Source organism: Homo sapiens, chromosome 11 (assembly GCF_000001405.40).
Source record: "Homo sapiens chromosome 11, GRCh38.p14 Primary Assembly".
In the NCBI taxonomy this organism is placed as follows: Eukaryota; Metazoa; Chordata; class Mammalia; order Primates; family Hominidae; genus Homo; species Homo sapiens.
In genome coordinates this window covers 129,014,338-129,028,249 of record NC_000011.10, presented here as the reverse complement: position 1 = coordinate 129,028,249, position 13,912 = coordinate 129,014,338, and the positions used below count along the sequence as shown (strand labels likewise).

Here is a 13,912-nt window from a genome sequence, read left to right as displayed (position 1 = left end):
CCCACCTGAGTTCACATTCATTTCTCTCAAAAAAATTTTGAGTTTGATACTTCACTTTCTATATGTCTTTTTTCCCCACCTGCGTGGTTTTGTTTGTTGGCAGATGTTGTATTTTATAGTAATTTGCGTCTTTTATATGGATGCTCCAAAACAGTTCTTGATTGGTAATTATAAGCATGAACAGTTTTCATTATAGTTACCAAAAATGTTTCCTAAACCCATATGCCCTTTAGTCAGTGCTGGGAGTAGCCCCCTAATCAGTCTTTTTCTTGCCCTGAGTAAAGAGGCTTTTCCGCTTTTGGCCATTTCCGATATTCATTCATTAATTGATCAAGAATTTATCGAGTGCATACTAAGTGCTATGGCTAAAACAGTGAACACACCAGACAGAAATTCCACCATTTTGGTGTTTGTATTCACGTGTGACTAGAAGGAGAGCAGTAAATAAATAAATAAACAATATAGTATGATAGATAAGGGCAATGAAGAGAAATAAACCTGAGAGACGGATGCCAAGACTAGGAAATGCTGAGAAGTGGCTTATGTGGGGTTATAATTTTCAAGGGAGGGTAGGGTGGTCCGGGAATGGCTCATTAGAAACCTACTTTTGAACAAAGACCTGAAGGAGATGAGGAGGGGAGATCTGCATGTAATCTGGAGGAAGAGCTTTCCAAAGACGGAACAGCAGGTGTAATGATACCGAGTTGAATGTGTGTCAGACTTGGTAAAGGGTCAGGAGGAAGGCCAGGTTGGCTAGAGCAGTGGGTGAAGACATAAGATGAGGTCAAGAGGGGAGAGGGATCAGATCTTCTCTGGGGCCTGGGTGTCACCATAGGGGTTTTGGCTTTTATTCAGAATTAGTTGGGTAGGCAGTGGAAGACTTTGAGCAGTTTTTGTTTGGTTCTTGTTAAGAGGATCACTTTGCTTGCTGTGTTAAGAGGAAAGGCAGAGATAGGTAGAAGAAGAGGGGCTGGCAGTGGCTGTTGAAATGAGCCAGGTGAGAGATGATGGTGACTTAGACCAGTATGGTAGCTGTGTAAGTGATGAGAAGTGATCTGCTTCTGGATATATTTTGGCCATGGAGCTGGCAGAATTTGCAGACATGCTGTGAAGGGATTGAATCATCCAGGTAATTTTTTTTTTTTTTTTTTGAGACAGAGTCTTGCGCTGTTGCCCAGGCTGGAGTGCAGTGGCGTGATCTCGGCTCACTGCAAGCTCCGCCTCCCGGGTTCAAGAGATTCTCCTGCCTCAGCCTCCCGAGTAGCTGGGACTACAGGCACCCGCCACTATGCCCAGCTAATTTTTTGTATTTTTAGTAGAGATGGGGTTTCACTGTGTTAGCCAGGATGGTCTCGATCTCCTGACTTTGTGATCTGCCCTCCTCAGCCTCCCAAAGTGCTGGTGTTACAGGTGTGAGCCACTGCACCTGGCCTTTTTTTTTTTTTTTTCCAAGATGGAGTCTCACTCTGTTGCCCAGGCTGGAGTGCAATGGCGCTACTTGGCTCACTGCAACCTCTGCCTCCCGGGTTCAAGCAATTCTCCTGCTCTCCTGCCTCAGCCTCCTGAGTAGCTGAGATTACAGGCATGCGCCACCATGCCCGGCTAATTTTTTATTTTTAGTAGAGACAGGGTTTCACCATATTGGCCAGGCTGGTCTCAAACTCCTGACCTTGTGATCCTCCTGCCTCGGCCTCCCAAAGTGCTGGGATTACAAATGTGAGCCACTGTGCCCAGCCCCACTCAAGTAGTTTTTATGATAGAATGATTAGAATAAAGCCATTCCTTTTCCAGTGAATTCTCCTTTTGCCTCTCCCACCCATGCAAAGATACATCCTAGTCCAAAATAGGGGGATAGTCACCAAACATTTTGTTAAATATGAGAGAAAAACAAGTGACCTCTCCTACACAGTCACTAGATGGCACAGCATCTTTTCAGTCAATTATATTTTTTGACTTTTTATTTTGAAATAATTGATCTCAGAGGAAGTTGCAAAAATAGTACAGAGAGATCCCCTGGATTCATCACTCAATTTCTCCTAGTTGGAACATAACTATATAGTAGTACATTATCAAAACCAGGAAACAACATGGTCACAATACAGTTAACTAGATGCAGACCTTACTCCAAATTCACCAGCTTTGGCAGCACTCTTTTTCTTACCATGTATTTTTATATGGCATTAGGGTACAGCTTTTTGGGTTTCAGATGAGAATTATCATCATTAATCTCCCACACACAGGCCAATGATTGTGGAATACAGTTATTCCTATCAATGTTTATATGTTAAGTAATATATAACATATATTACTTAAATATATATGTCAAGTAATAACATGTATTACTTAAATATATATGTCAAGTAATATAACATATATTACTTAAATAATATGTTATATATAATATGATAAAATAATATATATTAACATATATATTACATAACATAAACATGGATGTTTATAAGTTAAGTAATATATGGGGCTTACAGATTGTTCTAAGTATTCCCAAATGGCTTTTCTACAGTAAAAATATGTACTTTCTTTTTTCTCACTCTCTTCCCTCATCCCTCCTTCTCTTCTTTCTCTTTTTTCTTCCTCTCTCTCTTTTGTTTTTCCCTTGCCCTCCCTTGCTGTCTTTAGTACTAAGGAAGAGGTTGGGAGGGAGAGATGTTATTCATTTAAAATTAAAGAAAAGAAGAGTGGCTTTGCCTTCTCCAATAGGAGTAAATTTTAAGAGCCTTGTTTCCTATTCAGCTAAATTCAATAATCTGCAGATGTCCCATTGGTAAAGATCAAAATGTTTTGTTCCTGCCACATACTGGAATTCTCTATGATCTTTCTTATTTTAAAATCACATAAATTTATTGTTTTTTATTGTGGACTACCATTTATCAACAATTCTATGTTCAGAGCTATGTTCAAAGAGGAAGGAAAGAATAAATTCAATCAACAGCAGAAGATTTTGGAATGGTGCATGATGAATCCTCCCTGGATATCTCATCTCTTGCCAGTTACTGTTATGGGACCTTGGCAAATTGCTTCATCTCTCTGCCTTAGTCTCCTCATCTATAAGATGAGATAATAATAGAACTGCCTTCATTAGATTAGGATAAATAATGTTTTTAAATACCTAGAATTGTGTCTGGCACATAGTAAGTGCTATAACATTATTTTGTAAATTAAAAAATACCTGAGGGTAGAATTTACATTAATATTAGTAAAAAGTCATTGGAATGGAAAATATGTAAATATTTTCCAATTCATTTGTTTCTTCAATAAATACATAATTGGGTTAACACAGTTCAGTATTATTATTTAGTAGAAGTATTGAATCTCAGTATTTATATTGTATTTATGCAAATAACTAATAAGAATCTTTAAAGCTTTAAAAAGTCACGAATTGAGATTGATTGTCAGTTTGATAATAGTTGCCAAAGATTTTCACTTTTGCTAATGAATGTCTCTGGTAGAGGAAAAGAAGTACCTTGGGACTCCATGGGTGAAGGAGAGTTACATATTTAACATCTGTGTAGTGTATGAAGGAGAAGGTTGTACTTGGGAAAACTTGTTTAATTCTGGATTTCCCATTCTGAAGAAACCTTTTTTATTTTTTTCCCTAATAATTGCATAAGAGATTGTCTTAGAATTTTTCACACAGAGACTGTGTAAGTTGATACTTAAAAAAATGTGTTAGTAGAATAACAATCTTAGCTCAGTATCAGCAAAGATATTAAAAGATTTGTTTTCTCAGCCTATCCTGTTGTTTTAGTGATTCAGCCTTTTACTGGCAGTACTTCCTACTTGATCAATTACTTTTCTTATTTTAAAGGAGCCTAAAGTGCTATCATTTTTATTGGATACACTGTCTCCCACCTACTTAGCAAACAACTGAAAAGCAATTAACTTTTAAAAAGAGAAAAGACATAATTTAATATCAATTTCATACTGGTGTTTTCTGAGCAGGAAGTGCTCACCTGTGTGGGGTTGATGGGTGGAGCTCTTCTGGTGAAGCCTGTTCTGCAAGTGTGAGTTTAGGCTGGGGCGTTTCTGTGGTGTTGCAAAGCAGTATGTGCTGAGAGAGGAGGATTAAGCTCCTGGAGGCAGAGCTCTCCCACACACTTGCTGGCTTGCTGGGCTCCACTGACTGGACTGAAAACAGGGCCAAGAAAACTGCTGCTGCAGGGGGTCCTGAAAACAGCTGGAACCCGGCAGTGATGTGGGACCTAACTTGAAGTTAACCTGTGGTGGTGAGGTTGGAACCAGTTGGATTATGATTTATTTTCTACACTCTTGTACGGAATGCAGAGCTGTTGTATCCTGATGAATCTACTGCTAAATATAGTCATTTGGAATAATTTTAAGTATTGATCTTAAAACTTGTACCACAACAAGAGGTAAGGAGATCTCAATCAGTCATTTAAATATTTGACTCAAGCAACATTCAGAATTTTTCACTGAAACTATGTTTAGATTATATTTGGGCACATGTTACCTTGGTTGCTCTCTTAGGTAAATGGTTAATTATTTAATTATCTAGAAATTCAGCACTTGAACATTAGTATTTGTCATGTTTGTCAAAAAGTTTATACTTTTTGAAGTAGGCTTTGCTGATTGTACAACACAGATGTTCCCAGTCGGTTTCAAGAAATATCTTTTTTTCTCCTATTTCCAATCAGCTTATTTCTTGTTTTCTATACATTAGTTTAATATAATAAAAGTTTTTATGATTAAAAGAACCTGCCTTTATTTCTTAAGCAGCCAGCTTATATCATCTTTTTAATTTTTTTCCTGGTGGGTTAATAATATTTCAATTATTGATTAATGGAAATGGGCAGTGCTAATGCACTTAAAATAATTTGGTAGACTGTGTAAAGAGGCTCCTCAAGTTTGCACGAAGAAGTAACCTTTCTGGCCTTTTCCCTTCAAGTATGGTTCTTCCCCGCCTCTTTGGTATTGGCATTGGTAAGGATAACCATCTCCATCCATAAAATATTTTGTATTAAATCTCAGAGATTTTACCACTAAGGTGGTGTTCCGTATGTATATGGTGTTTCTTTAGACCTCGGTAATAAATGCCTTTCATTAAAATAACATGGAGACCAGAATTTTCTCTGAATCACAAATCAGCCCTTAATAGGGCTGATTAGTATGTTCAACTTCTTAACAGAGGTTGAACATTTTTCTTTCCAGGATTGTTGCACTAGTGCTTAAATGACAGCAATATTTTAATTTTTAAAACCATAAATGGGGGAATTTCAGAATTTAGAGCTCATTTTCATAGTCAGCTTTTTAAAAAAGCATCTACTGCTCATATAATAATGGTTTGAACTATGATTTCTTTTTTTAAAAAAGAATGCTATATGGCATTTAGTGGAAGATAGAAATCTAAAATGTCTTAGGTTAAGTTTATATTTAAGAAAATTAGAGCAGGAAGGACTAGAAAGTGATGCCATGTTCTCAGTGCTGATTCCAGGATAGATAGCCAGATTCCAGGTTCTGGAAAGCTGAGTCAGTTTTCTGGTTAGCCCTGTACCTCAGGGATTCTCAAAGTTTTCAGATGAAATGTAACAAGAAATTGTAGTAGTAATAATAGCTCCTATTGATTGACACAGAATTTAATGTTTGGCACATACACTTCATGTAAGCATCATAGTAACCTTAGTGAGAGCTGTTGTTAGGGTCATTTCCATTGTGAGTGAAAGAATTGAGACTTAAATAGGTAATTTGCTCAAGATCTTGCAACTGGAAAGTGATTAGGGACTGAATTATAACCCTTTGGTCTGATTCCAAAGCCTATTTCTTTAACAAGAACTCATTGTCAGTTCCATACTCACCAAATATAGAAACTTTCCCCTCTACTTCCTGCAAAACAAAACAAAACCCACAAAATCAAAAACCACCTCTGATAGTATCAAAGTTCCACACCAAACTTCATAGCTTAATAAAGTGCAGAGGACTGTGACATTAAAGTACATGTGATTACAATTTAATCTGACAAAAATTTATCTCAAAAGAGAGTTTTTACACCATTAAAATTAAGGTTCTAAGTTTTCCAATTTCTAGAACTAATGTATATTTTGGTAGTCCTGTTACCTTTGATGTACCTGAATTCCTAAGAATTTGTGTGTGTTATATTTAATTTTTGTAAGAATACACAAGCATGTCTTCCTGAGATAGTACTAGCTTTTAAGCTTCTTATCAAGTAGTACTAGTTCATCCTGGAAAAATAAGAGCCCAGACAATTTAAAATTTCTTAGCAGGTTTTAAAATCTATATTCTGTATATAATATCCCATTCCAATTTTAAAATACTTTAAGTGTCAGGAATTTATATCTACTTCATGTTTTTTCCTCCTGCTTCTGGTAAAATGCAAATCTTCCTTTTCTGTTTTTAGAAATGAAATTAGTCATAGTCTCTTATATAATAACCGAGGTGGTAAAGTCAGCAAGTTAAAAATACTTCTTACTTTGATTTTGTACCAAGTCGAGAAACAGAACCAATCGTATTTATTATTTTAAATTTGTAATTTAAATTTCGAAATAAAAATTAGTATCACTTTTAGCAGGAAAAAGGTGTAACTTATTTATATCAACCTAAAATAACATAATCTAAATTTGAACCTTCTTTGATATTTATAACTGAAATCTGTAGCTTCTAGAAAAGTAAGTGTGTAATGTAGATAATAATAGTCTTATCTTAACCGTATGACCATTTTCCCAAGGGAACTATGATTTTTAAAGGTCTAGCATGAGCAGGTTCTGTGTTGTAACAGTTTGTGTACTCCTCTAGGAAGGGCAGCAGCATAGTGATGTTGCTTTGGTTTCATCTTTAACCCTGGAGAAGAGATACAGTTTTATTCAAATATCCCAATATTTTAGTTAACCATTGGTATGCCATTCAACATGAGTTGTGCTGGATATTCTGAAGAAGCAGTTTGTGGCCCATTTTCTGCTCTCTTTCTCTCAGTGAATTGTTGTTACCTCTTCTGTGTCTAAAAGATTCTTTTCTAAAATCTACTACAGATTTATTTTCTAGATCCCTTAATGTTATTCATTTGCATTCCAGTCAGTAATGCCTTTTGAAATGTCTACTCTTCTCTCATAATTAGATAGAACCCTGTTTGAATTATATAACTGTTAGTAGCTTTCCCATTTTTCAGTCAAGAGCCATTACTAGTGGTGCTATTTTAAATGTGGCCTTGCATGTATATGAATTTCTGAGATACTTGGTTTTATTCCTTTGAGGTTGGAATAGCAAACTGTTTCATTTAATTCCTGATCCGGTCCCAGATAGCTTTTCTGAGACAGCCCTTGCAGCTGTTATATACATCAGTTAAAGAACTGTGTTTTTTTCCTCTTACTTCCAAAGTTGTTTGTGATATATTGATCAAAAGTGATTCTGTACTTTCCTACTCTACAATAGCTTTGTAGTACATTAAAATTCAAGACTCAATTTATCTAAAAAAAATTTTTGACATATACTTGGGATAGGAGTGGGGAATGAAGCCCAAGGCTGAAAAACTGTTATATTCCTGATTTTAAAAAGTGGTTCCTAGAGAGACACTGAGAATTTTGCTTTGTGAGCGTCAACCTGATAGATTATAAGTTTTCAGAAGTTCAGAACATACAGATGATATTTACCTTATTTTTCTTTTACTGCAGTAAACTCTTGAAACCTATGTCAAAAAATAATTTTTATAAAGTATGTGGCATTTTCTAATACAAAGAATATTATAAGTGACCATTGTACTGTTGACCAAGGACTTGCAAGCAAATAAAGAAGTAAACAACAGTATACCATATGGCATGACCAGCAACTGTGAATGTCCTTAGCAATTAAAGGTAGTACAAGCATCAAGTCCAAGAAACAGTTATAAGCATGTTATGTAAATTAGTTATGTAAGGACTCCTTATTACTACTAAGCATTCATGGAACTAAATAATTAAAATTAATTTAAAAAGTGTTAAACCTAATATGCTTAATAACCTTTAACAGTGATTTTTTTATCTTAAATTTTTATACCAGCCTTTTTCCAAGATGATTTAGAGAACCTAATTTTTTTTGACAAAGTTCTCCAATGACGTTTTAAATGATGTCTTTTTTTCTCCTGATAAATTTCCCTAAACTAAAGGTATGTTTCTTAGATTTTAGAGCTTTGTATGCTATTGACACTTCATACATTCTCAGAGTACTTTATGATTTCTCAGGTATTTTCATTAAAATCTAGAATCGTATTGTCTGGTTAAACTTCTCATTTTTCATATTACTAATCTGAGGTCTAAACTGCTTAATTTCCTTTTCTAAAATCTTATAGTGAGTTATTGGCAGAATCGGGATTAAAACTGTCTCTCCACATTCTTGGTCTGGTACTTTTTCACTAGCACATACCTTAGCCAATGATGTCATGATTGGATGGATGACCTTAATTAGACTATATGTCTTATTATTGGAAAACAATAAAAGCTTTCAATGACTAGGTCATTGGTTCAAGGATGTATTTTTAAATCTTCAAATAGGATTGCTAACATTTTATGCTTACTACATGTTTTTACCACACACACAACTGTGTATTTAGATATTATAGGATATTACCGAATAAACTAAAGAAAATGAATTGAAATATGAATAATAAATTATCTTGATAATTAGAAATAGATATATAGAAGAGAGGAAAGGAATAAAGTTTTGTAATTCTGATAACTTATTACATTTAAGTTATTACACAGAATGTGATGGGAGATAATTAGAATTTATTTAACATACCTGTTCTTTTGATATCAACTTTTAAGGAGGTAATTCGGATGATTAGAGACTTGTTTATATTTTGAATGTGAATTATTTTGAATGTGATGTTAATACAAACAGATTAAATTAGTTAATACATGTAAAGCCCTGGCACACAGTAAAATAGTAAGCACTCAATAATCATTATGTATACAATAATTATCGTTATGGTATTACTGTAGCATCTAGATTTTCCTTCAATTTTTGTTGACTATCTGGGTTAGGATTTACCTTTTCCTTCATACTGCCTTTGTAGGACTGGGAGCAGGTCAGTGGGTGGTGCCAGAGAGAGGGCAGAGCTATCACAAAACAGACCAGAAGATTCACAGAGATAGGAATAGTCAGTGACAGAATTTCTTCAGCATGTCCTTATTCCATCAAACAAAACTTGGCTGGGTTTACTTTGCAAGAAACCCCTTTACTCTGATTTGAATGATATTTTTTGTAAAACTGGAAAAACACATCGCCAGAGTTATTCATGTGTATTTTTAGTCATTGGCTTAAAGAACTTTTATATCATTAGTCATAATGATATGAAAGCCTTATTTATGTTAAAGTCTTTTTGTGTTATAAAAAGGAAAAGTTTCAAAAGGGTATATTTTTCTATAGAATACTTGTAATATTTCTGTATTATTGGAAAAAGTATTTGTTCAGTTCCTTTAATATTTACATTGCATATTGAAATCTTGCCCAACTACCTACAAATTTTTATTTAAAAGATTTGTAGAGTTATTACTCTAGTGAATCACAGATTAATTTGAGTCCAGTTATTTGTAAATAAAAGCTTTGTTGGTTAAGCTTACACTAATTTAACTGATATAATCAAGGCTATAGACTGAGTAAGATTCATATCACATATTTCCCAAGATGAATGCGAACTAAAGTTTTTCAGAAACTTTCTCAGTTGCCTAAAGATCCTTTTGGGTCATATAACAATGCTTGCTAAAGATAAGTTTAGTTTTACAACTCTTGGCAATATTCCTTTTAATAAATTTGAAAATACTAAGTACACAGTTCACTTCAACTACTTACTTAAGACTCTAACTGTAAATCGATGTCATTTTTCTTTGCTGCTATTTAAGGTATTTGCTGATGCCTATTGTTGTTTTTCCATTCTTTCTTGGTGCTTTCACCCAATACAGTTCTTCTGTGTTTGTCTTCCTTTACTAGAAGTTCACATCTAATATGTTTACAGTATTCTTACATTTATTACAGTTGCTAAGACGGAACTTTGCCCTGGCTTAAGGCTGTTATTTTTTTAAATTGCCACTTGCCTTTTCAAGTCTATTGCACTCATTTATGTCACTGCAAAGGATACAAGGAAAGTAGGAGTATAAAAGTATTTAAAAATATAAAAGCATAAAAGCAAGCCTTCTGCACGTTCTGCACTTGTATCCCAGAACTTCAAGTATAGTAATAAATAAATAAATAAAAATAATAATAAAAAACAAAGTCAGAAGCAAGAAAAGAAAGTAGTTACAAATTTAGTGTACCTCATTCAAAACTTAAACAAGACAAACTAAAATATCAGCTTAATAGATGGAGAGAAATCATTTGATAAAGGTCAACACTTGTTCCTTTTATATATCTTAGCAATTGGGGATAGGTAATTTCTGTATATTTAAGGTTTCTACCCAACAAACCCAAGTGAATTTTATTCTTAATGGTGAAACATAAGAAATAATCTATTTAAAGTCAGGAACAAGAGAGGCATTTATTGGAGGTCCAGTGAAGTTAGACAAAAAGAATTAAAAGGATTGGAAGGGAAGAATCAAATGTGTATTATTTGCAGATTTATAAATCCAGATGATTCTACAGTCAAATTTTAAGAAATAATAACAGAGTTCAGCAAGGTTGCTGAATAAAAGATAAATAATACAAAAATAACAATAGCACATTTATTAAGTTTTTCTGTCTAGCACTAAGTGCTTTATAATTTTAACTCATTTAATTCTCACAATAATGCTGTTCAGTAGTTATTATTTTAAACTTTTTTTTTCTTTTTCTTTTTTTTTTTTTTTGAGACCGGGTCTTGCTCTTGTCACCTAGGCTGGAATGCAATGGCACGATCTCAGCTCACTGCAGCCTCCGCCTCCAGGTTCAAATGATTCTCCTGCCTGCTGAGTAGCTGCGATTACAGGTGCCCGCCACCACACCCGGCTAATTTTTGTATTTTTAGTAGAGACAGGTTTTCGCCATGTTGGCCAGGCTGGTCTCGAACTCCTGACCTTGTGATCTGCCCGCCTTGGCCTCCCAAAGTGCTGGGATTACAGGCATGAGCCACCATGCCTGGCCTAAACTTTTTCATAGATGAGGAAAATGAAATACTGAGAATTTAAATATTTCTCCATAATCATACCGTTAGGAGCTGCAGAGGCAAGATTGGAACCCCAGAGGTCTGACTCCTGAGTCTACCCTTTGCAACCATGCTAATTGCATTTCTGTACACCAATAATAAATGATTAGAAAATGTAATTTAGAAAACACCATTTTATAACATCAAGAAAGTCATAAAGTTCCTAAGACTATCTACAACAAAAGTTCGTAAGACTTTTATGAAAGGAAATTTGAACAATTTATTGAAGGACATAAGCAAATTGTAAATAAGTGGAGAGATCTATTATGTTCATGGAAAAGAAAGCTCAGTATCATAAAGAAGTCTGTCCTCCAAAATAATCTATAATTCAGTGCAGCTTCAATGAGATTCCAAAAAGTTTTTTTTCTCCTTCTAATTTGACAAGCTGATTCTAAAATTTATGTGAAATGGGAAATGGCTAAAAATAAGGCAGTTTTAGAAAATAATAGTGAATGAAGGGACTCATCTTTCCAGTTAAGACTTACAAATTAAGAAAGTGAGGTATTGATAGAGAGAAATGAGACAACTCAGAAACAGACGTCTTACATGCTATATGCATTTTTCACGTAAGATAGAATCAGTCTTACAATTCAGTGATAAAAAGGTTATTCGATTAAAGATGGCAGAATAGTTGATTATACATATGGAAAAAAGTATATATCTCTCCCTAAAAAACATGAAAAAGCAAAAGTTTTTAGAAGAAATAGGGCAATATGTTTATGACTTATAAGGAAAATCTCTTGAAGTACAGAATGATTTCTGTACCTAAAGACATTTAAAAATTTGTGCAATAAAAGATAAACCATAGACTTGGAGTCAGTCTTTATAATACGTAAAGGATTCATTTCTGTATTATGTGAAGAATTCTTATTCATCAGTAAGAAAAAGACAACAAAATAGAAAAATGGGCAAGGATATGATCAGTTATTTCACTGAAGAAGAAAACTGAATGGCCATATGAAACATATGAAAACAATGCCTATTCTGATTAGCAGTCACAGAAATGCGTATTAAAGTGAAATATAATTTCAGAAATTTGACAGAGCTAAGTAGAACAAAGATTTGAAGAATGAGGACTGAAAAATACATCTAATTAGAGTGTATATTGATAAATCATTTTAGATAATATTTTAGCAAAGTTGAAATATGGTTGAAAAGTAGCATATTCTATAACCCAACAATTTTCCTCCTAAACGTGAGTGCCAGAGAAGTCCTGTCACTTGTGCCCAGGGAGACACTTACCAGATTATACAGTGTAGTCAGGATTGTAAGAACAAACACTTGTAAACTCTGACAGCAGGAGAATGGAAATATAAGTTGTGGTATATACTTAAAAGAGAATATTGTAATGTAGTTTAAGTGATATACTGAACCACAAGTGCCGTGGATAAATCTCAGAATACACAGTTTTGCAGAAAGTTTGATATCAGATGATTCCATTTCTGAATTTGAAAAACATGCAAAATGTTAGTATTGTTTATGGCTACATACACATGTCGTTACAGTATGTCGTTACATGGATGGAAATGATAAATGCTAAATTCAGGATACAGGTTCTCTCTGTAGGAGAATAGGATTGCGGAAACAGTGGCTTCAGCTCTATCTTTTATACTTAAGGGAAAATAATCTGAGGAAATAATGTGGCACAATGTTAAGATTTGAAAAACCTGCATGATGAGGACATGGATATTTATCATATTATTCTCTTAAATATTTCTGTATAATCAAAGTATTGAGCAATTTTTAAAAATAAGTACATTGACATTGGGCTCTAATACTTTCTATCAGTACGTTAGCTCCTGATTTTCCAGGGCAGTCATACCCCAGGCCTGTGTCTTCTGGTCGTGTTTTCCAGTTAGTGTATCCTAAAACTGGTCTCTAGAGACTTATGTGAATACAAAGCTGATTAAGCATTAAGCCAGTAGGCTTTTAAATAGTAGTCAGGTTAAAACTAGGTATAATACAATAGGAGTTTTGTTTCAGCACTTTTTTCCAATTCTTAACATTTGTTATATTTTCTTTTGAAGAGCAGAATTTTCAGAACATTTTTAGTTCATTAAATGGATTTGATAGTTGTCTAGAGAAAAATTCTTTCTTCATATTCATTAGCGTGAATAGATATATTGTCGTGCTTTAAATAAAAGCAATTTATGGAATTTTAAATTAAAATTCAAATCTTTTAATATCTGTTTAACATAAAGTACTTTAAGGTATGCAACAGAGACTGAGAATGATAGAATTTGTGAGATTATAAGAGAACCTTAAACATTATGTAATCCAGTTGCCTGTATTTGTATTCTCCTCACTTAAATTTCTACCCAGTGGTTATCTAATCTGTTTGGGAACTTTGAATAAAAGACAGGATATTATATACAATCTGTAAAAATCCACTGGACATGTTAAACATTACAGTCATACCTTATTATACCTTTGGTTTAATCAGAACAATCTGCACAGGTATTAATATATTCCCACTACTACATTCTAATTTTGTCTCCTTGACGTTGTGAATTTTTTACCTTTCCTAAAATTTGATGTATATAATCAAATAAACTTACTGCTGAGGCCATTATCTTGGGACAGACCATTTTCCTATACACCCTCAGAAATTAATCCAAGCCCAGATTTATCTTAAGTCAGTCTAGAACATTTCTGGGAACCAATTCCTAGAACTTTAGAGAAAGTATTATGAGCAAGCAAGAATTCGTTGGGATTGCTGGGGAAGTATTACGCTGGTGTAATTAAACAGCACTGCCCTGCCTCTCCATGCCAAGG

At 34.1% G+C, this 13,912-nt stretch overlaps 1 protein-coding gene across 15 annotated transcripts in view; it reads left to right on the top strand.

Annotated features, from left to right (window-relative positions):
- ARHGAP32 (Rho GTPase activating protein 32) overlaps positions 1-13,912 on the top strand; it is a 314,573-nt gene that overhangs the window by 251,383 nt on the left and 49,278 nt on the right. The window contains exon 1 of one of the 15 annotated variants that reach the window (NM_014715.4): positions 4,062-4,391. The exons of the other annotated variants lie outside the window; for them this stretch is intronic. The gene's annotated coding sequence lies outside the window, so the exon portion shown is untranslated. Of the gene's footprint in view, positions 1-4,061; positions 4,392-13,912 lie in introns of those variants that run through there. 15 annotated transcript variants of the gene reach the window in all.